The sequence below is a fragment of the Homo sapiens genome, chromosome 6 (genome assembly GCF_000001405.40).
Source record: "Homo sapiens chromosome 6, GRCh38.p14 Primary Assembly".
Classification (NCBI taxonomy): Eukaryota; Metazoa; Chordata; class Mammalia; order Primates; family Hominidae; genus Homo; species Homo sapiens.
This window is the reverse complement of record NC_000006.12, coordinates 136,935,388-136,957,255: the sequence shown is the minus strand read 5'-3', so window position 1 is coordinate 136,957,255 and position 21,868 is coordinate 136,935,388. Positions and strand designations below refer to the sequence as shown.

The following is a 21,868-nucleotide window of genomic DNA, read 5'->3' as shown; positions in this document are numbered from 1 at the left end:
AGGAAAGCCAAGAGGCCCTTCTGTGTGAGGCCGACTAGAGTCCCAGAGTGCATTCCACTTAATTACCGGGAGAAATTCTCTAGAACTGCTTTGGATACTATTCCTAGAACCAATTAGCCCGAACCTTTCATTTACATGCAACTCGAAGATGCAAAAACAAATAACTATGGTACTGTATTTTAACAGCTTAAACAGCTCTGTTTGTTTAGCTAAAACAGATGAATAGCTTTCCAAAAATACACAGAAGAGCACTTCCGGCCTGATGAATGCATAACAATGACAGCTGCGAAGTCACAAAGGAAGTACCATTTAGGTGGCATTTGCTAACAAGTTGTATTTTAGGAGAGAAAGGAAAAAGTTAACATAATTAAAGTCAAAGCCAAAGTAGAAACCTTTTCCCATCTACTCGATTTTATAAATTAACAACTTGATTAGCAGTTTGAAATATGATCTGGTTGCCATCAGCCAGGAGCAGGGTAGAGCATTTCATAAGGGAAGGCTCCATCTCAGAGGACTTTTTTGACTTTACATTTAAATAGAAATTATATACATGACATTATTCTATAATTGTGTGACTATAACATTTGCTTTTGCTTTCATAAAGATATATGTTAACAATGGGATACAGGCCGGGCATAGTGGCTCACACTTGTAATCCCAGCACTTTGGGAGGCCAAGGCGGGTGGATCACATGAGGCCAGGAGTTCAAGACCAGCCTGGACAACATGGCAAAACCCCATCTCTACTAAAAATACAAAAAAAAAAAAAAAAAAATTAGTCGGGCATGGTGGCGCATGCCTGTAGTCCCAGCTACTAGAGAGGCTGAGGTGGAGGTTGCAGTGAGCTGAAATTACATCACTGCACTCCTGAGATCACGTCACTGTTTTTTGAAACAGAGTGAGACTCTGTTTAAAAAAACAAAGAAACAAAAAAAAAAAACCTATCAGTTACATATATATGCTTAGGAGCCATATTTAGAAAGCAGAATTTCTACAAATAGGCAGGTGAGTTTCTCAATTCCAGTGAATAGTTAAAAGCTATGCTAAAAAATATAAAACCAATTTTCAAATATTTTTATTTTAAAATTATGTGCTCAAAATAAGTTAAGAGTTTCATGAACTTTGAATTCATGCAAAGATTTTAAATTTTTATTTTGTTGTTTTACTTCTCATGTCTCATTCAAAGATGGCTTTTAAATTTTAACTTAATTAATTTTCCACGCAAAAAGCCTAATCTTACCAAGGATGATTTTGAATTACATTGGTAACAATGTAAACCTGATAGCAAACATTTCTTGCTATTAATAGAGATCTGTCAATTTGCAAATGAATAGACTTATCCGAGAAATGGCCTGTTTCTGAATGACACTCGAGATGTTCATGTGTATTACACACAAAATAAGGTTACACACAAAATAAAGACCCTTAGCCATTTTGAAAGTGCTGAGAGATAGTATACTCCAGTTTAGAGAGAACTGAACTACATTATTCCAGCTCTAAGGACAGTTTAATTTAATTTGGGAAGAGGAAGCAACATTTGCAGCTAAAACAATGTTAATGATGGAAACCGGGGACACAGAATCAAAGTGCCCAGGCTTTATCTTAAGTCCTCTCCCCTTTTTCCAAATTGTCCCCTTCCTATCTTCTGATCTTCACCTGATTTATAAACCTTGAATTCTAATCTTAATTCCTTTCTTGATTAAACCCCTGAATAAAAATCAGCCCCTCCAACACACTGTCTCACAACCAAACATGTATTATTATTTAGCCTGCTTTGGTGTTAATTGACAAAACAAAACTCAAGACAAAAACACTGGGTTCTAAATGTTGTGCTGGTGAGAGTGAGTCAATGGTCAGTTTATAACACAGAGGGGCCAGCCACAGTCAAAACTGAATTAACTCTTGTGTGCTCTTTCAGTTCTCCCTTATTTCCCTACTTGACTGGTACTCCCTTCCTCTTCCCCCACAGCCCTCTCTACACCCTACTCCCATCCTTGCCCATCCTATCGTTCAAAAGAGTTCTTACCACCTTTTTCATTAATGCATCCATCATGCCCTACATTGGTGATCCTCAAAATAGGCACATGTCGTATTATGGAAATCACTTCCCAGATCCTCATCGTCCTTAGGAGCTTCTGCCTAAAACCATTCTTCCTGAGAAAGAGCCTGTGTGTTTCAGGTGTCTTGCTGGTTCTCTGTTCCCATCTCCCCTTTCACAGGCACCCTTTCTTCACAAGAATAAAAAGGAAGGCACCCATCTCATCTACCAGGACTTGCCACCATGGAATGCCTCAGGGCTTAAAAGCCTCTGAGGTACCCAAAATGAAATTAATCTGAAATCCTTGTGTTGGTGTTGAGACCATAAAAGACTCCAACAACTGGGTAACAAATCCTTTTCCAAGTCAAGTAGCTTCCACCTATTTGGAGGAAGGGCTGATAAATCATTAAAAAATTTTTGGCTAGGTTCGGTGGCTCATGCCTGTAATCCCAGCACTTTGGGAGGCCAAGGCGGGTGGATCACGAGGTCAGGAGAGTGAGACCATCCTGGCTAACACAGTGAAACCCCATCTCTACTAAAAATACAAAAATCAGCTGGGCGTGGTGGTGGGTGCCTTAGTCCCAGCTACTGAAGAGGTTAAGGCAGGAGAATTGCTTGAACCCGGGAGGTGGAGGTTGCAGTGAGCCGAGAGCACAACACTGCACTCCAGCCTGGGCAACAAGAGTGAGACTCCATCTCAAACAAACAAACAAAAAAATTCACAATATATCACCATATGATTTTGTTAGGACATAACTTGGAGAAGTGAATGGCTTTCCTACAACAAAACACTTCTCATTTCCAACTACTTATTTTAGTGAACAAAGTTTCTCAACACTTACATATGTAAAAATGACAAATATGATGAGAATTGGAATGTAACCCTATGCCTTTCTGATTTTACTATCATTTGGTCCACTAATGCACTAGCAATATACCAGTGGCGATGAGATGTTGTCTGAGAAAGCACATTTCAAGGCCAGTGCACACTAATTGTTCAAAAAGACCCATGACACAGAATACTTCTCTTTATTGTGTCAGAAATGTTATGAGAATTGGAGCTGAACCCTATCTTTTTCTAAGTAATATTCATCCATGAATATATAAAATAACTTTGTTTTTTGCTTTTTTAATCCTGCTCCTCCTGCAATGAAATAACTTTTTAAATGCCCTATCTTGTTAAGAGATGTGGTTCTAATGGAATTGTATCTTTATATTTAGTAACTACTAATACTTGTAATATAATGATGTTGAGGACCTATGAGTACTAATAACAATTGTAATGATAACTAAATCCAAAAGAAAACCTTTAAACACTTGGAGTCCTATGGTCAAAGAAAATAGAACATCTATTTCAATTTATATACATATTTTTGTTTCAGAAATATATTTAACATTTTTAAGCACAGAAAATACTAGGATAAAATTCTATTGGAGAATGAAATTGAAATATGATTTCAAAGAGTTTAAGGAAAAAGAATAGGGTATAAAATTTCTCTCTCATGTCTACCTGTGCCTTTCTTATCATTATGCTACGTAGCCTCCATTGAATACATTAAAAATAATTTAACAATGTTATTTTAAAGCAAAAGTGGAAATTACCATCCTTTGCAATTGTGTAGATTTAAGTTGAATTTTTTTAATATCAATTTTTAAATGTTCAAAGAATACATAGCATTTAAAAATCCTCTTTGGGGACACACAAGCAAAAAATTTTAAGCCCACTGCTCCACCTCATTCCAGTGCACACCTCTTCCCTCCCCAGCGTTGCCATCAATAAGGTTCTGCTTTCAGCTATGGTGCAGTAGTTAGGAGCACAGGCTTTTGAGTCAGAAGGACGTAGGACCAGGACCAGGTGAGGCAAGCAAGGACCAAGGGTGCAAATCTTGAGACACTCATCTCCGGTTCAGGCTCACATCAACCCTGCACACACATGCACAGATCAGAGAGTTTGCCTCCCTAAGTGTTGCACTCTAGGTGCCCCTCTTGCCTCACCCCAGTCTCTTCCACTTATTACTGAGTGATCTCAGTAGATTATTTAGCTCCTGTGAACCTCAGTGATCCCCTTAATAAAATGGGGGAAATAATGCTATTGTCCAGAGTTGCAAGAGAGGATTAAATTAGAGAGCATGCAGCGAACTTGGCAAAGTGCCCATCTGTGGTCGCCAGTCAATAAGTGGTTGCTCTTTATTCTGACACCAAGGAAGTGTCTGATAAACAGTTCATAATGAGACAATGATCACTGGATGACTTAATGGATTATCATTCCCAAAAAGGTTGATTTTAGGAGGCCTTTGGAGAGGCAATATTTCTCTCTCTCTCTCTCTCTTTCTCTCTCTCTCTCACACACACACACACACACACACACAGAGCCAGAGTGGCCGACCGGTTAAGTCTGTAGGGGATAAAAGGTAATACATCTTTTCTTCACCACCGTGAGGTTTTCGACTGACACCCCCATAACGAAGGACAGATTAACAAGATAAAAGCATAACCAATTGCATTTAACCTAAGTTTTATGTGACACAGGAGCCTTCAGAAGTAAAGACCCCATGACCTAGGAGACACTGTGTGTTTTATGCTTAGGTTTGATGAGGAATTGACAGCATGTAGAAATGTGATTGGACAAAAGGGTGTGATCTCATGGTAATAGACTGAAGGAGGGATCCCAGTAAGGCCTGTTTGTTTAGATTTTTCTTGGTCCGGTTGTAGGGCAGGACCCTTCTGGAATGAGGGTTTTGTGGCCCAGTGTCAGGCGAGGTAGGTCAGAGAATCCCCTATGACCAATGCTCCCGGGAGAAGGTGGCAGAAGCCAGAGTGACCTTGCTTCAGTCATTTTCTCCATCGCCAAGGTGCCGTATTTTGGGATGCGTTCTGAGCCTTAACAGGGCTCTCCTCCTTTCCTCCTGTCTGTCTTCTGCTTACACTCCTATGTGCCCTCTCTGTGCTTGGGAAAATCCCTATCTTTTTTTTTTTTTTTTAATCCCTGTCTTTCAAAGCAAACTCGAAAAGGGCAGGAACCTTGCCTTTCCTTTGCAATTAGCGTAGACATAGGTTATAAGCACTCAGTCTGCATAATACTTTAGCATAATTATATTATAGTACAATATAACCTAACAACATGGTCTCCAAAAAGGCACTATTATGGAAATAACTAACATGTGTAGACAGGGTTAGCCTCCATGTGGGTTCAGTGAATAATTCTGTGAAAAGCCTAGTGAAGATTTAATAATCTCCTTTCCTGCCCAACTATTAGTATCTGCCTATAGAATCTGTACCCACCCTGAAGCTTCCAGTTACCAAACACTTAGTGTGGATCAGGCAGGGCAACCTACAGGATGCAGAGCTGAGGAAACCCAATGCTTGCCTGCAATTACCTTAAAATTGAAAGGATATATTTAATTTCTTCTCTTGGCTCTTTATTTTCTCTTTTCTAGCTTCACAACATCAAAACTGGTATTCTCATTTGTTTGTTTGTTGTTTGGTTTTATATGTCCGGAGTCACAGAGATACCAAGGGTTCACTCAACCCTGCTGTGTAAGGGAATTTTACTCATTCAAATATCCATTAGCAAATATTTTTGAGTGCTTAGACTATGTCAAGCAACTGTTTTAGGTGCTAAGGATGTAGCGGAAACAACAACAGAAAAAAAAAAAACCTGCTGTTAAGATGGAGTGAAGGAGGTGTCCTTTTTAATAAATTAAAACTGCAGCTGGATGTGGTGGCTCATGCTAGCACTTTGGGAGGCCAAGGAAAATGGATTGCTCAAGTCCAGGAGTTCCAGACAAGCCAAGGCAACATGGTGAAACCCCATCTCCACAGAAAATACAAAAAATTAGCCAAGCGTGGTAGAGCACACCTATAGTCCTGGCTACTCGGGAGTCTGAGATGGGAGGATGGCCTGAGTCCGGGAGGCCAAGGCTGTAGTGAGCCATGATCATGCCACTGCACTCCAGCCTGGGTGACAGAGTGAGACTCTGTCTCAAAAAAAAAAAAAAAAAAATTAATTAATTAATATCTAAATCCTCAAGGCTTAAGCAGACCGTGAGGGCCCGGTCTCTCTCCTGAGCTACCTGCTCCTTAGGCTTCTCTCACTTCAATTACTTCTGCCATCATTTACCTTGGGCCCCAGGGATGGGCCAGACCCCCTTAACTGTCTACTGTACACTGAGGCCAGGAGGCCAAAGCTGCTAGCTCTGTGATTTTGTAAATAATGTTTGGCTGGAACCCAGCCACAGTCATTCATTTATGTGTCATTTGTGGCTGCTTTCCCACTACAACAGCAGAGTTGAATAGTGGCTACAGAGACCATGTGGCCTGCAAGACCTAAAACACTGAAAATATTTACTATCTGATCCTTTAAGGAAAAATAACAAAAGGCTCCTGGTCTAGAGGCCTAACCCAAGCCTGCGCCTGCCCTGAGCTCCTCAGTGTATCTGAAAAAGGCTTAAACTTTCAAAAAGACCTTAGTAAATATATACAGAGAACAAAAATGGAAATGAATGCAGAGAAGAAAATAAGCATGCAAACATTCTGAGCCTGGGCTTTGGTCTCTGACCCTGTCATGGCTGACTCAGCATGGTTCACTGCTTGTGTCTTCAGTTCCTATCTTCTAATCCAGCCCCAATGGCAAACCCAGAACTGCAGATTCCTTCTCCTGCTCCCAGCCTGTTCTGTGTGGAGATCATCATCTCGTGGTCCAACATTTGGGAACTACCTCCGGGACATCTTGATACCCTCAGGTCAGAACCCCGGCACACTTCCATTCCACAGTCCTCCTGGGACTCTTTTTTTTTTTTTAAGAGCAGTTTTAAATTCACAGCAAAATTGAGAGAAATGTACAGAGATTTCCCATTTATCCACTACTCCCACACATGCGTAACCTCCCCAGTATCAACCAGAGTGGTACATTTGTTACAACTGATGAGCTTACATTGACACGTCATTATCCAAAATCCATAGTTTACATTAGGGTTCACTCTTGGTGCTGTACATTCTATGGGTTTGGACAAATGTAAAATGACATATATCCACCTTTTGTTGTCTGTTGTTGTTGTTGTTGTTGTTGTTGTTGTTGTTGTTGTTTTGAGTTGGGGTCTTGGTCTGTTGCCCAAGCTGGAGTGCAGTGGTGCAATCATGGCTCTCTGCAGCCTCGAACTCCTGGGCTCAAGCAATCCTCCCACCTCAGCCTCCTGAGTGGCTGGGACTACAGGCATGCAACACTGGGCCCACCTAAGTTTCTTGTTGTTTGTGTTTTGTTTTGTACAGACAGGATCTGACTATGTTTCCCAGGCTAGTCTCTAACTACTGGCTCTAAGCAATCCTCCTGACTCAGCTTCCTAAAGTGCTGGGATTATAGGCATGAAACTGTGCCCAGCCTATAGCCACCATGATAGTATAATACAGAATCGTTTCACTGCCCTTAAAATCTGTGCTGCACCCATTCATCCCTCTCACCACCCGGTCCCTGGTAACCACTGATCTTTTTAGTGTCTCCATAGTTTTGCTTTTTCCAGAATGTCATGTAGTTGGAATCACACAATATGTAGCCTTTTCAGATTGGCTTCTTTCCCTCAATAATATGTTTTCTCCACGTCTTTTCATGGCTTGAGTAAAATTTTAGGCCTGAGTAAAATTCCATTGTCTGGATGAACCACAATTTGTTTATCCATTTACCTACTGATGAACACCTTGATTGTTTCCAAATTTTGGCAATTATAAGTAAAGCTGCCATACATATCTGTGCGTATGTTTCTGCATGGACATAAGAGTTCAATTCATTTGGGTAAATACCAAAGAGTACAATTTTTGGATCATATGGTAAGAGTATGTTTAGTTTTGTAAGAAACTGCCAAACTGTCTTCCAAATGGCTGTATCATTTTGCATTCTCACCAGCAATGAGTGAGAGTTCCTGTTGCTCCACATCTTCATCAGCACTTGGTGTTGTCAGCGTTCTAGATTTGGGCCATTTTCATAGGTGTATAGTGGTATCTCATTGTTGTTTTAATTTGCATTTCCAGAGTGACATATGATGTAGAGCGTCTTTTCATATGCTTATTTGCCATCTTTATATCTTCTTTGATGAGGTGCCTGTTAAAGTCTTTTATTTCATTTTTTTAATCAAGTTGTTTCTTTTATTGTTGAGGTTTAAGAGTTCTTTGTATATTTGGGACAACAGTCCTTTTTTAGATATTTTTCACAAATATTTTCACCTAGTCGCTGGCTTTTTTTTTTTTTTTTTGAAATGAAGTTTCACTCTTCACTGAGCCTGGATTGCAGTGGCACAATCTCAATTTACTGCAATCTCTGCCTCCCAGATTCAAGCAATTCTCAGCCCGACGAGTAGCTGGGATTACAGGCCTGTGTCACCACACCTGGCTGATTTTTGTATTTTTAGTAGAGATGGGGTTTCACCATGTTGGCCAGGCTGGTCTCGAACTCCTGACCTCAAGTGATCCGCCTACCTCCTCCTCCCAAAATGCTGGGATTACAGGCATGAGCCACAGCGCCCAGCTCAGCTTTTCTTCTTATTCTCTTGACGTTGTCTTTTGCAGAGCAGAAATTTTTAATTTTAATAAAATCCAACATATCAGATTTTTTTTTTTCATGGCTCATGGCTTTGGTGTTGCATCTAAAAAGTCATCCCCAAGATGGGCCTGGCGGCTCACACCTGTAATCTCACACTTTGGGAGGATCACTTTGGCCCAAGGGCTTAAGTGAGACCAGCCTGGGCAACATGGTGAAACCCCATCTCTACCCAAAAAAAAGCTAGCCAGGCACGGTGGTGCATGCCTGTAGTTTCAGCTACTTGGGAGGCTGAGGTGGGAGGATCACTTGAGCCCAGGAAGTTGAGGCTGCAGTGAACTGTGTGATCTCTCCACTGCACTCTAGCCTGGGTGACAAAGCAAGACCCTGTCTCAAAAATGAAAACAAAAATAGCAAGTCATTGGCAAACCCAAGGTCAGCTAGATTTTCTTCTGTTATCTTCTAGGAGTTTTCTAGTTTTGCATTTTATATGTAGGTCTGTGACCCATTTTGGGTTAATTTTTGTGAGGAGTATAAGGTTTGTGTATAAGGTTTGTGTTGATTCATTTTTTTACATGAAGACGTCCAGTGTTTCAGCATCATTGCTGAAAAGATGATCTTTGTTCCGTTATTTTGCCTCTGCTCTTTTGTCAAAGATCGGTTAACTATATTTATGTGGTCTATTTCTGGACTCTATTCTGTCCCATTGATATATTTGTTTATTCTTCTACCAATACCACATTGTCTTGATTACTGTAGCTTTACAGTAAGTTTTGAAGTCAGCTAGTGTCAGTCCTCCAACTTTGTTCTTCTCCTTCAATATTGTGTTGGCTTTTCTGGGTCTTTTGCATCTCCAAATAAACTTTACAGTCAATCTGTTGACATTCACAAGATAACTTGCTGAGCCTCCCGGAACTCTTTCTCTCTGACATTTTCTATAAATATGAAGTGCTGCAGTTTTTTCTCCAATGACTGACCCAATCAATGACCTCACCCTTCATAAAAGGGCCATGTCCAGGCTACAAAATCAATAATATTAAAATTTCTGATAAAGATAATATCCCAGTGAAAAAGTAACCTTCATGTAGTAGCAGTTGGTTCTGTCACCTCCCAATTTCAGAATCCCCATCTCTTACAGAGGCTAGAAATTACCTGAGGAAATCAAACTTACTGATGGACAATAATCTGAGAACAACATGAAAAACGTCCAAACATAAGTGTAGGTATAAATGCAGTCGCTGAGGGCTCTGGAATGAAAGAATTATCAGAGGAGTGGAAAGAAGAGGCAGGGAAGGCTTCTTTGAAGGGGTGGAACTTGAACAAATGTGGGATAGGAACGGACGAGGAACATCTGTATCACTGAGAAACTCTGCTATGACTGTGCCGCTCTCCATTTCCCCCTCTACATGATTTCTTCCCTTTTCAATTGTCTCAATAGCGATGGCCACAGCAGCGGGTGGCTAGGGGCCTGGTCACAGCAGCAGAAGTATTAATGGCTGTGTTTACTGAAAACAAAACAACGGGGGTGGGGGGGGGACGGGGGGGCGGAGAGCATCAGGAGCTAATGGATGCTGGGCTGAATACCTGGGGGATGGGTTGATCTGTGCAGCAAACCACCATGGCACTTGCTTACTTACGTAGCAAACCTCCATATCCTGTACCTGTACCCCAGAACTTAAAATAAAATTGAAGAAAACAACAACAAAAGAAGATTTGAAGAGATCGTAACGCTATGGAGATAATTAGGCCTTTGGTAATCAAGAGTAAAATGGAGTTTCCTCAAAAAAATCACCCTTTCATTCCCATTTTATTAGTAAAACACCCACTAAAAATAGAGGAAGTAACTATAAGAGGTTTTCTCTCATCTAGGCAAGATGAATTTTTATAATTGTAAGGTAGCTGCTTACAGAAACTGATTTCCACAAAAAGTACAAAATTTCCCCAGTATTGCACACTTCCCCCCACCCAATAACTGGTTTTTAATTCATGATTTTCCTTCATCACACAGTCATGGAATAAATATTCTTTTCCTTATAAATTAAGTGGATGTAGACTTTGATGTAAGATAACAATGAGGAGAATTATTAATAAAGACAAGATTAAGCTTAATCATTTGCCTTTGGATTTTTATCTTCCACTCTATATTAGTATTTCTAAGAAGAAGCAGATGAGGTCAAAAATATATTATGACTAACATTTACTTTACTTCAAAGGAAAAAGAATTCTTTGTTTCTGTGGAATTGTTGGGCCCCTGTTCAGCATCAATTTCATTCTAATGGGCACTCTTTTCCATCTTGCAAATTACATTTGAATTCCATATATTTTACTTTGATGCATTTCCAAAGGAAGATTCAAATTGTGTTTTTTCTTTTAAGTGTAATATTAAAATCCCATCCTATGCCACTCCTCTAGATGCCTTTTAAAATTTTTTAAAAATCATCAACTTTCTTCTATCTGTGGAGGTTTATTGGGGTAGGGGAGTTGGAACAAGATGAAGGGGCTGCGTTCATTAGAGAATTGTTCCAGGATGAAAAAGCTCCCAGGAATATATAATGTGCTTCAGAAGAATTAAGGAGGAAAAAGCAATGGTTGGAAGGAATCTGATCTTGTGGGTGGCAGACGCACAGGAGAGACTGCTCATGCATGACATGTTTCAGATCTTTTGACACAGTCATGCAAGCAACAGAAAGTTATATGGTTTTTAGTCTTCTAGATAGCAGTGAAATGAGAACGTGGGTGGATCCGGAAAAAAATGAACTTCTCCTTATTTTTTATTTAAATGACTTTTGAGCTAGTTCTAGACTGTGGAAGAGTTGGTAAACCACCCAGTTCATACACACTCATACCACCCTACTCCTCCACACTCACATCAAAGTTGTCCACAAACCTTCCCTAGCCAAATCATCATTCACTCAAATTGCATTGATGCAATTTGACTGATACATGTGGTCATCGTGTTTATGCCCAGGGAAGTTAGATGAAAGAACCCACTATTTGCCTCTAATGAGAAAGTCAGACAAGTAGATTTAAAATGACACACAGAGCCAGAAGTCCACTGACAGGAGCAGGAAGTTAGGAACCAGGCACCTAACCCAGCTGGGGATGAGTGTGCGGGGGCTAAGGAAACCTTCCTAGGAGAGGTAACAGCTGACTGGATTTTGAAGATGGACAGGAGTTGTTCAGGAAAAGGAAGGACATTTCTGGCATTCTCAGCTATGCAATTCCCAGATGTAAGACATGACATGGGAAAATTGTGTTTTGAAAAGAAAGTAGAGACAAACACAAAGAGTCTTGGAGGCTACAGTAATTTTGGACATCATTCTGAGGTTGATGGGAAGCAATAACTAGGATATTTAAGAAGGGAGTCATCTGATTTGCATTAACAGCATTAGTATAGTCTGTCATCTCCTCCCCAAATGACTCGAATCAGGGAAACCAACTAAAGCAATGACAGGGCTGGAGAAGTGAGTGTGAAGACAAAGAAACACACATGATTCAAGAGATATTTATAAGAAAGGGGTGTACCAAATGGGTTGGATGTGGGTAGTGAGACAGCTAAGGCAACCACATAGATGGTTGCACAATTCAGGGGTCAGGAATAGGGGGCTTCATAGAGGAGGAAGTAGGGTGGGGGACAATGGTGGGCACAGTTTAGATGAGATGAGTTCAATCAATGGAACTATCCCATGGGCAATTGGATCTGAAGCTTAGAAGACAAGAAGGGTAGAAAGAAATATTTGGGTGCCATCCAGGGGATAGGAGCAGTCACTGTTGGGGATGAGATGGTCAAGGAGAGATATGGAGCCCACAACATTTACAAGGGACCCTGAGAGAGAGAGAGACTGAGAAGGGCAGATGGGCAGAAATAAACCATGAAAGCTATGTAAAAGCCAAGGCGAGAAATGTGCTTTAGAAATAGAGTGATCTACCATAGAAAAGTAATGAGATCAATATGAAGAAAGGACTTGGCTTTTGTAAGCATGACATCCTTGCGGATCTTGGCAGAGCAGTTGTAGTGGAGTGGTCAGGGTAGAACCCAGACCTCAAAGACTGAAGACCAAATGGAGATGGGAAAGCAGAGAAAGGAACAGCAACTGGAATCTCAAGAGGCAAAAAGGCAAGTAGGAAGAAGGGACAGAAAAAAGGAGGAGATCCAGGCCAAGGCGGGGATGGAGTGAGGTAGAGAGAGAAATTTGAGGTTTTCTTTAAGAGGATACCATCTCCTTCTCTTTCCTGCCCACTGAGAACTCCAGCACTAATCTAATCCAATTCTCAGGTAAAAATAAATAAATAAATAAATAACAGTGTGCATTGTCCAGGAATCAATACACATGGAATGCTTACTGCATGTCAGAAGCTTTATGTATTTTTTTCCCTTTTGTCATCCCAGCAGCTCTACCCCATGGACATTTTTACATTGTCTCACTTTGAACTTCTGAGGATACTAAATCAGGAAGGTTCACTGATTTGCCCAAAGGCCCACTGTAGGTAACGGTGGAGTGGGAATTTGGTTCCAGGTCTTCCTGAATCTAAGGCACTGATGGTAGTGAGAGAGAAGGCCAGCCACTCTACAGCAATTTCACCACCTAGGGTCTGTTTCCTTATATGTGAAATGAAAGCACTGGGCTGGGAGGTCACAATGAGGTACTTGCTTACTCTCTTTGGTGCACCTTGCAGTCAAGACTCAAGAGTTCTACTGAAGAAGCAAACCATTTGGCAAACAAACCATGTGAAAATCCATCTATTTTATTTTGCCACTCTGGCTTCCATCTACATACCTGAGCACACAACTCTATTATTTTCAAACTCTAATTTACGTGTAGGAGGAATTGAGGTGGTTTTAGTACCGTAAGTGGCTAGCTCAGCATGCCGAAGGCCCATTACACTAAACACAAATGCCTTTGTTAGGCAGTTTCAGAGGAGTTTTTCTGGGAAGGGTTTTGTTGTGTTTTGTTCTGTTTTTTGAAACAGGGTGGCACTCTGTCACCCAGGCTGGGGTGCAATACTGCAGCCTTGACCTCCTGGGCTCAAGTGATCCTCCCACCTAAGCCTCCAGTGTAGCTGGAACCACAGGTGTGCACCATGACGCCTGTGGCTAATTTTTTTATTTTTTGTAAAGATAGGGGGTGCGTGTGGGGGGATCTAACCATGTTGCCCAGGCTAGTCTCGAACTCCTGGGTTCAAGCAGTCCTCCCACCTCAGCCTCTCAAAGTGCTGCGATTATAGGCATGAGCCACCATGCCTGTCTGGGAATCTTTTTTCTTCACTTTATATCAGGTTTCTTAATATATATATTTAGATTTTAACTTTTCATGGATATGTGATATACATTTACAATAGTGAACACATCCTAAGCATTCAGCTTGAAAGATTTTCACAAGATGAACACACTGTTGTAACCAGCACTCAAATGGTTGACTCTTTTTGAAAATTATTTGTTCTTTGTTCCCACAGTTATAAAGCTTGCTTGGTAATTCAACTCTCTACCTCACAGTGAATTTAGAAGGGCTAGCTAATTATAGCTTTAAATGTAAAACACTTTGACAAACTTGAAGTAGGTAGAGAGCTGCTTAAATTGATTATAATGTCACATGGTTTCTACTTAAATTATTTCACCTGGGAGAATGTCAAACTGTCCTCATTAGCAGATCATGAAAGAAATGTGTTGGAAATTCACTTTAATGGAGACTTGCGAATTGGCGGCTCATTACCTGAAATATTCCTGTTTAAGTTCTCTGAGTCAGCCTCCTTCTCTTCCTATGCCTTTCTCTGTATTCTCTTTTCTATAGCAATGGGAAACTTTGCATTTGAAAATAATAGTGGTCCCTAAAACCTCCATGTATTATGAGTTGGTCATATATTGGCTGCCACTGATCTCCAGCCACAAGTCATAGATTTCAGGTGTTAATGATGTTTTATGCAAAGTCACATTCAGATTCTAACCATCTCCAAGCATGGACAACCTTTCAGAGTCCGATCTTCTTGTAGGTCATTTCTAGTCTGGAGGAGCATGGTTTGAAACAGCTAAAGTATCCTCTTCTCAGTGTAGAGGGAAGGAAACAGGAAAGCAACTGACATGTTTTGAGGACTCTATTTCCACTACCTTAATGGGCAATGGTGGGGACAGTGAAAGAGCCCTCTGTGACAATGATTCTGATGGTGAAATCTAGAGTCTCAGAGCAAACATCAAGAAGAAAAGTTCATTAAACTGTGCAATATTTTCATCCAAAAAAGTCAACAGCAAATCAGCCATTGTGGGAGAAAGATGTGAAGTGCTGGGGTTCAGAAAAATGATACCTGAGAACATTGCGCTTTGACATGCTGAGCTAAACAAGCAGCGCTAGCATCTCTCTGATTTTCCCACACCTCCTTGTTTATCTGATCCTCTTTCCAGAAGCACCAAGAGGCACTCTTTCTGGACATTTTCTTGTCTGACTAGGAAAAATTCTTTCCAAAACAAATGTCTTGTCTTAAGACCTTCTATGTAGAAATCTCATCAAATAACCAGGAAATATTAACCACTTGAGAAGAGAAGACTCTGGGAGTCATCACCATGCTCAGACAGACTTTTCTTCTAGTTTCCTGAGGGCAGCTCCCAGAGATTACCTAGGAGACTTTATGTAATAAGACAGCCTTTGTTCCTATGCATTCAGTCCCTCACCTTCCTATAACTTGTTCATCCCATCCAGCTTCCAAAGAGAAACATTTACAAAATAATGTCTGCCTCACATGTCCATATGACTCTGGCATGAAGAGAGTATTCGGGCATCAACCATCTGCCCCTCTTTGAGTCTAATGCTTTGTGTATGGCTCTTATGTTCATATGCACTTTTGTAAATTTTGTGTAACTTTCCCTTCTATGAATCTGCCTATTGTAAGTTCATTTTCAGTGAACCTTTGGAGTGAGGAAGGGAAGCTTTTCCTTGGTCCCTACGGATTTGAAGAAAAATAATGCTTCTTGTGGCACATAAAAAGGAGTCTCCTTAATATTATTTACTTACGCTGTTTGTGTCCAATAATTCCAACATGACTGGGAACTGCTGGAATGATTGGTTCCTGTATTAGTCCATTTTCATACTGCTATAAAGAACTACCTGAAACTGGGTAATTTATAAAGAAAAGAGGTTTAATTGACTGACAGTTTCACGGACTGAACAGGAAGCATGGCTAGGAGGCCTCAGGAAACTTACAACCATGGCAGAGGGCCTAGAGGAAGTGAGCACCTTCTTCACATGGCGGCAGGAGAGAGAGAAAGAGAGAGAGAAGGGGAAGGTGCTACACACTTTTAAACAACCAGATCTCAGGATAACTCACTCACTATCATGAAAACAGCAAGGGGGAAGTCAGGCCCCATGATTCAATCACCTCCCACCAGCCCACACATAGGGATTATAATTCAACATGAGATTTCAGTGGGGACACAGAGCCAAACCATATCAGTTCCCTTTCTGATAGTTATTTTGATAAATCTTTTTACATAATCTCTAGGAAATAAATTTTTCTTTTTTTTTTTCTTTTTTTTTGAGATGGAGTCTCCTCTGTCCCCCAGGCTGGAGTGCAGCGGCACGATCTCGGCTCACTGCCAGCTCCGCCTCCCAGGTTCATGCCATTCTCCTGCCTCAACCTTCTGAGTAGCTGGGACTACAGGCGCCTGCCACCACGCCCAGCTAATTTTTTTGTATTTTTAGTTGAGATGGGGTTTCATCGTGTTAGCCAGGCTGGTCTCGATCTCCTGACCTCATGATCTGCCAGCCTTGGCCTCCCAAAGTGCTGGGATTACAGTTGTGAGCCACCGAGCCTGGCAAGGAAATTAATTTTTCTTTACTTGCTACCTGCCTGGAAGATCTAGCACACAATCTAGATTTGTCTTCACTGTAGATAGATAGTTCCCATTCCCAAATTATGTGCCTCCAATCTTTCAAGCTTAGAGATTTACCAGGGGAGTGAAATTTAGCCCAGCTTTGGAAGTTACTAACTTTATTCTCTGTCTTGGAGCAAGCATCTATAGTTAGCAAATTCAGGGTCTATTGTTATTTTTGTTTTGCTTTGCTTTGCCTTTGGAACTGGCTTATGTACTATCTTGGATTCTTACATCACTTGTTATGAATATGTCTTATCTTCTCAAAGAGAATGATAGTTCCCTGAATGTAGAAAGTAAGTCTTATAATTCTTTCTATGCCCAAAGGGCCTTACGCAACATAGTGCTAAAAACTGTTTGTTAATTGGATGGTTGGTAAAGGGAGTAAAAAGCCTAATAGACCATATTAATATTTTTTACATTTAGGAATATGCTACCTGATTTTGAGGTTTTTCAAGCTGAAATTATTGTTGCAGACAATCAATGAATCAACATCCAATAGAGTATCAGAGGCAACAGCACCTTTCCTCTTACAATTCTAATGATAGCTTCAGATGAGGACCATAACCAATTCTGACCCACCCTGGAAGAGCTGAGGCTTTTTGCCCACAAGCAGCTAACAAAGACATCACAAATAAGCTGAATGCCTCCCTACAAAAACATTTTAGATTATATTCTTTCTCTCATTCACCTCGATCAATTTGTACAATCTCAAGAAATCATTTTACATATCTGACAATGAAAATTATTCTCTCAGCAAGTGTAACACCCCTCTTAAGCAATCCACGCAAGTGACATGAATAGAAGGAAATAAGAAAGGTACTTCTGAATGCATGTAAATGAGCAATGTAGGGGCTTCCTTGACCTTCTCAGAGAAGACAGTCTTTATAAATCCTGAAGAGTGGTATTATTAAGTATTTCAAATGCAAAATATGAATATATCTGTTTTGCTAATTAAGATGTCTGTTCAACCAACTACTTGGCATCTCATTTAAATAATTATCTAGTAGAGTATATTGCACTTCCATTTGGTATATTAAGAGTGTTCAGTCAGGAGAAACCCTAGCCTGCTTAGGAAAGTTTGTTAATTAAAAGATTTGAAGATTTAAATAGAGTACCTCCAGCTTTGGGAGAATCCTCAAAGTTAAGTCAGTAGAAGTTATAGCTCTTATTGTTCATCTGGAACTAACAATAAGCTCTGGCAGGCATTTGAACACATCCTCAGACAAATAGAAGTGGCTCCATTGAATAGGCCACTTTAGAATGCCACCTTTGCTATCCTCCCAGAGGTGGACTCTTCCTGCTTCTCCAGGTTTGCTCCTCTCCCCAAGGATCTTTTTCCATTACTGAATCTGAAAACAAAATCAAAAAAAGGTTTTTGGCCCCAGCTGTTCAGCTTATATAATAATGTCTTGCCCAGGTTTGAGGACAGCCTAATTTTCCAGTAAGAGATTAAGAGCCAACTTAATAAAAAGAAAAGAAGAAACTGGATGTCTGTGCTATAATTTGGTTTGAATATTTTGACAACAATCCAATAGCAGGAAATTCCTGAAGGATTTTCAAAGAGTTACCTGTTTTCAAGGTCTGCCATTGAAGGGTCTATGAATCCCCTTTAGCAAGTCTTTCATTCATTTTTATGATGAATGTTTTTTGGAAACTAAATTTAGTTTGGGGAAATAGTTTCAGGCTGGGCACAGTGGCTCATGCCTGTAATCCCAGCACTTTGGGAGGATGAGACAGGAGGATCACTTGAAGCCAGGAGCTTGAGACCATCCTGGGCAAGATAGCATGACCTTATCTCTACAGAATTTTAAAAAATAGGTGGGCATAGTGGCACACACCTGTAGTCTCAGCTACTGAAGAGGCTGAGGCAGAAGGATTGCTTAAGCCCAGGAAATGGAGGCTACAGTGAGCTATGATGGTGCCTCTACACTCTAGACTGGATGACAGAGCAAGACACTGTCTCTTAAAAAAAAAAAAAAAGAAGAAGAAGAAAGAAAGAAAGAAAAATTATTTCAAGAAATCAAAACATGTTTTCAGTGCACCAGAAGGAATTCATGCATTGAGTAAGCACTCACCAAATGCCTACTCACAAGGAATGCAGAGATGAACAACCCAAGCCCTGCTCCTTGGCAGCTCAGTCTAATGGGACCACAAGCACAGAAACATAAATAAAAATACAACACAGGATGCAAGTACTATGCCACGTGTTGAATAGACCCTTCTAGATAAGCTAGAGGAAATTGACTAGGCTCTTCAGAAAAACTGTTTAGAATACTTCTGTAAAACAGGCTGGGTGTGGTGGCTTATGCCTGTAATCCCAGCAGTTTGGGAGTCCGAGGCGGGAGGATCACTTGAGGTCAGGAGTTCAAGACCAGCCTGACCAACATGGTGAAACCTCATCTCCACTAAAAATACAAAAATTAGCTGAGTGTGGTGGTGTACATCTGTAGTCCCAGCTACTTGGGAGGCTGAGGCAGGAGAGTCGCTTGAACCTGGAAGGCAGAGGTTGCAGTGAGATCACACCACTGCACTGCAGCCTGGGCAACAGAGCGACACTCTGTCTATAAAAAAAAAAAAAAAAAAAAAAAAAGTTCTGTAATACGAACTATCTCTTTTATTAGAAGTTCACATTTTAAGCTTTAAAAAAAACAGCTGAGATGTACACATCATTCTAAAAAAGTAAAGCATGTGCTTCTGGCTTCCAGTCTTCATACAACTTCCTGCTGATATGACAGAGAACTTAGTAATTAGATTTGCTTCCTATATCAGCAATTAGGCAGTTGTCTTCTAAAGAAGACTTCTTTAACTTTTCTTATGGAACCATTAAACTTAAAAATCCTTCTGGACTGGGCGCTGTGGCTCATGCCTATAATCCCAGCACTTTCAGAGGCTGAGGCAGGTGGATCACTTGAAGTCAGGAGTTCGAGACCAGTCTCGCCAACATGGTGAAACCTCAGCTCTACTAAAAATATAACAATTAATTGGATGTGGTGGCACACACCTGTGATCCCAGCTACTCGGGAGGCTGAGGCAGGAGAACTGCTTGAACCTGGGAGGTGGAGGTTGCAGTGAGCCGAGATCACACCATTGCACTCCAGCCTGGGCAACAGAGCAAACTGGCAACAGAGCAGCCTGGGCTCCTTTACATTTGAGTCAGCAACCACATACTTTTTTCTCATTGTTTTATAATCCGAGGTTCTCTTGGGCATGACTTAGATTGTGTTGGCGCTGGGATGCACACTTTATAACACTGGTGCCCCTGAAAGCATCTTAGACATCATCGGAGTTACTGACTCCCAGCAAACTCTTATGCTATCCTTCATAAGACCCCCTTGCTTTCTCCTCATTCACCCTCTTCTAGGACTTCTTCCCACACTCATTTGATTCACTTTCTTGCCATCTCTTTTTTCTTATCTTTTTTTTTCTCTTTAGGTATTGCCTAACTCTGTTAAGATAGCGCAGCACTAACTTAGTACCCTCTAACGGCTCTGTTAAGACCCACATTCCTCCAAACTTGGATGAGGTTGACGAGTTTCCCAGGATGTCTTCTGCTGCGGGGCCCTGTTAGGGAGACTGCTGGCCTCCAGTGGGTTCAATCTAATCATTTCCTATTTATTAGTTATATTGATTACCACCCCCAGAGGAGTGACAGAAATCCTGGCACAGATATTAACTCCAAAATACAGAACAAATTTCATCTGCCAAAAGCTATTTCAAACACTGTTCAAAAGATTAAAGAAAGGCCAGGACAGCTTCACCCTTCATTTTTTGTCTGACCTATTTCTACCTTCCCTGTCTGAATTGTTAACAATGTTCTGTATTATTTTTCAAGACAGGCATCCTAGCCAAAAAAAAAAAAAAGTTTCTTTATGAACATTTTTATTGGATTGAGCCAGGGCAAGCCTCTTAAAACTTGCCTGTAGGGAGCTCCTGGGTGCCAGGGGTGCTGGTGAGAGCACTTCTGGCTGAGTGAATGTCCAAACACATGCACCAAGCCTTCCTGCTCCTCTGCATTTGTTTGTTTGTTTGTTTTGAGACAGAGTTTCGCTCTTGTAGCCCAGGCTGGAGTGCGATGGCGCTATCTTGTCTCACTGCAACCTCCGCCTCCTGAGTTCAAGCAATTCTCCTTCCTGAGCCTCCCAAGTAGCCGGGATTACAGGCACCCACCACACGCCCAGCTAGTTTTTTGTATTTTTAGTAGAGACGAGGGTTCACCATGTTGGCCAGGCTGGTCTTGAACTCCTGATCTCAGGTGATCCACCTGCCTCAGCCTCCCAAAGTGCTGGGATTACAGACATGAGCCACTGCACCCGGCCCTCCTCCACCTTTTATGCAGACTCTACCCAGCCCATTTCTTACCCAGTAGATCTAATTTATAGCATTTGATTTTCTAAGAATGGCACTATAGACAATTCAGACTTATCTATCAAGCCATCTTCAAGGGAGCTGTAGTTGCCAGTTGAAAGAGAAAACTATGGTTAGTCTGATTTCATGACTTTGATTTCTTTTGTCAAGCAGTCAACCAATATTTATTGAGCACTGGACCAAATTCCAGGTGCAGTGTTGGGCACCAGGGAGTACTGGAGCAGATAAGATAGCAGGAATGCCTGCCTTTGTGAGGTGTACTGTCAGGCCTCTGCCTCCCTTTCTACAATCATCTCTCCATATGGGTGTGGAATTAAAGAGGACAGTATTTGCTCAAAGTCATTCATCAAATGAAAAAGGCAGTGCTATCCTATGATTACAGCAGTGCTCTGGAGGGCTTAGGTAATATTAAGCAAAGTGAATTTCCCTTTATACCACTGCAATGACAGTAAGTGCCTATGGAAATGGCCGCTTACCAAGTCAGTAATAACGTTTATAAAATACGTTGCAGATTTTGGAAGACAGCCACTAGGTGAATTGCAAAATGTAAAACTTTTCTCTATTTGCCTACCCAATTCATCTGAAAATTGAATGCTACTCCTTAAGGAAAAACAGAAACTAGCCATTTGAACTGGGTTGCTTATTATGGACTGCTTTACGAGTGTAGCAGTTATTGACAAAAAAGCATAGTCGCCCTCCAGAGAGCCAGCAATCAGCGTGGATGCACTCTACATACAGGCAGGGCTTTTGAATTCCAGTTATGACCTGTGTTAACTCTCACTAATCCAAGGCAGGGATGCTATACAGCAGAGATTCACAACTGGTCATGTTCTATTAAATTATACAATAGATTAGCATTCTAGTCACACCATAATTGTATGAAAAGCCAGCCCCAAGACCAACAGCACCCCACATTCATTAAGAAGTCTTTGATACAAGGAAACACACACACACACACACACACACACACAGAGAGAGACAGACAGACAGACACAGTCTACATGAAGCCGAGTAACCAAACAAAAATCAACAAATTTGGTCTACTGCCCAGATATCTTGAAAGTTGATGCTCTGCATCA

General features: G+C 41.0%; 1 annotated feature.

Annotated features, from left to right (window-relative positions):
* Nucleotides 130–698: an enhancer, noted in NCBI's record as "OCT4-NANOG-H3K27ac-H3K4me1 hESC enhancer chr6:137277696-137278264 (GRCh37/hg19 assembly coordinates)". NCBI's record gives its function as "activates a minimal SCP1, AML or CMV promoter by ChIP-STARR-seq in naive and primed H9 embryonic stem cells {active_cell/tissue: H9 hESC(naive and primed)}" and the evidence as "EXISTENCE:reporter gene assay evidence [ECO:0000049][PMID:30033119]".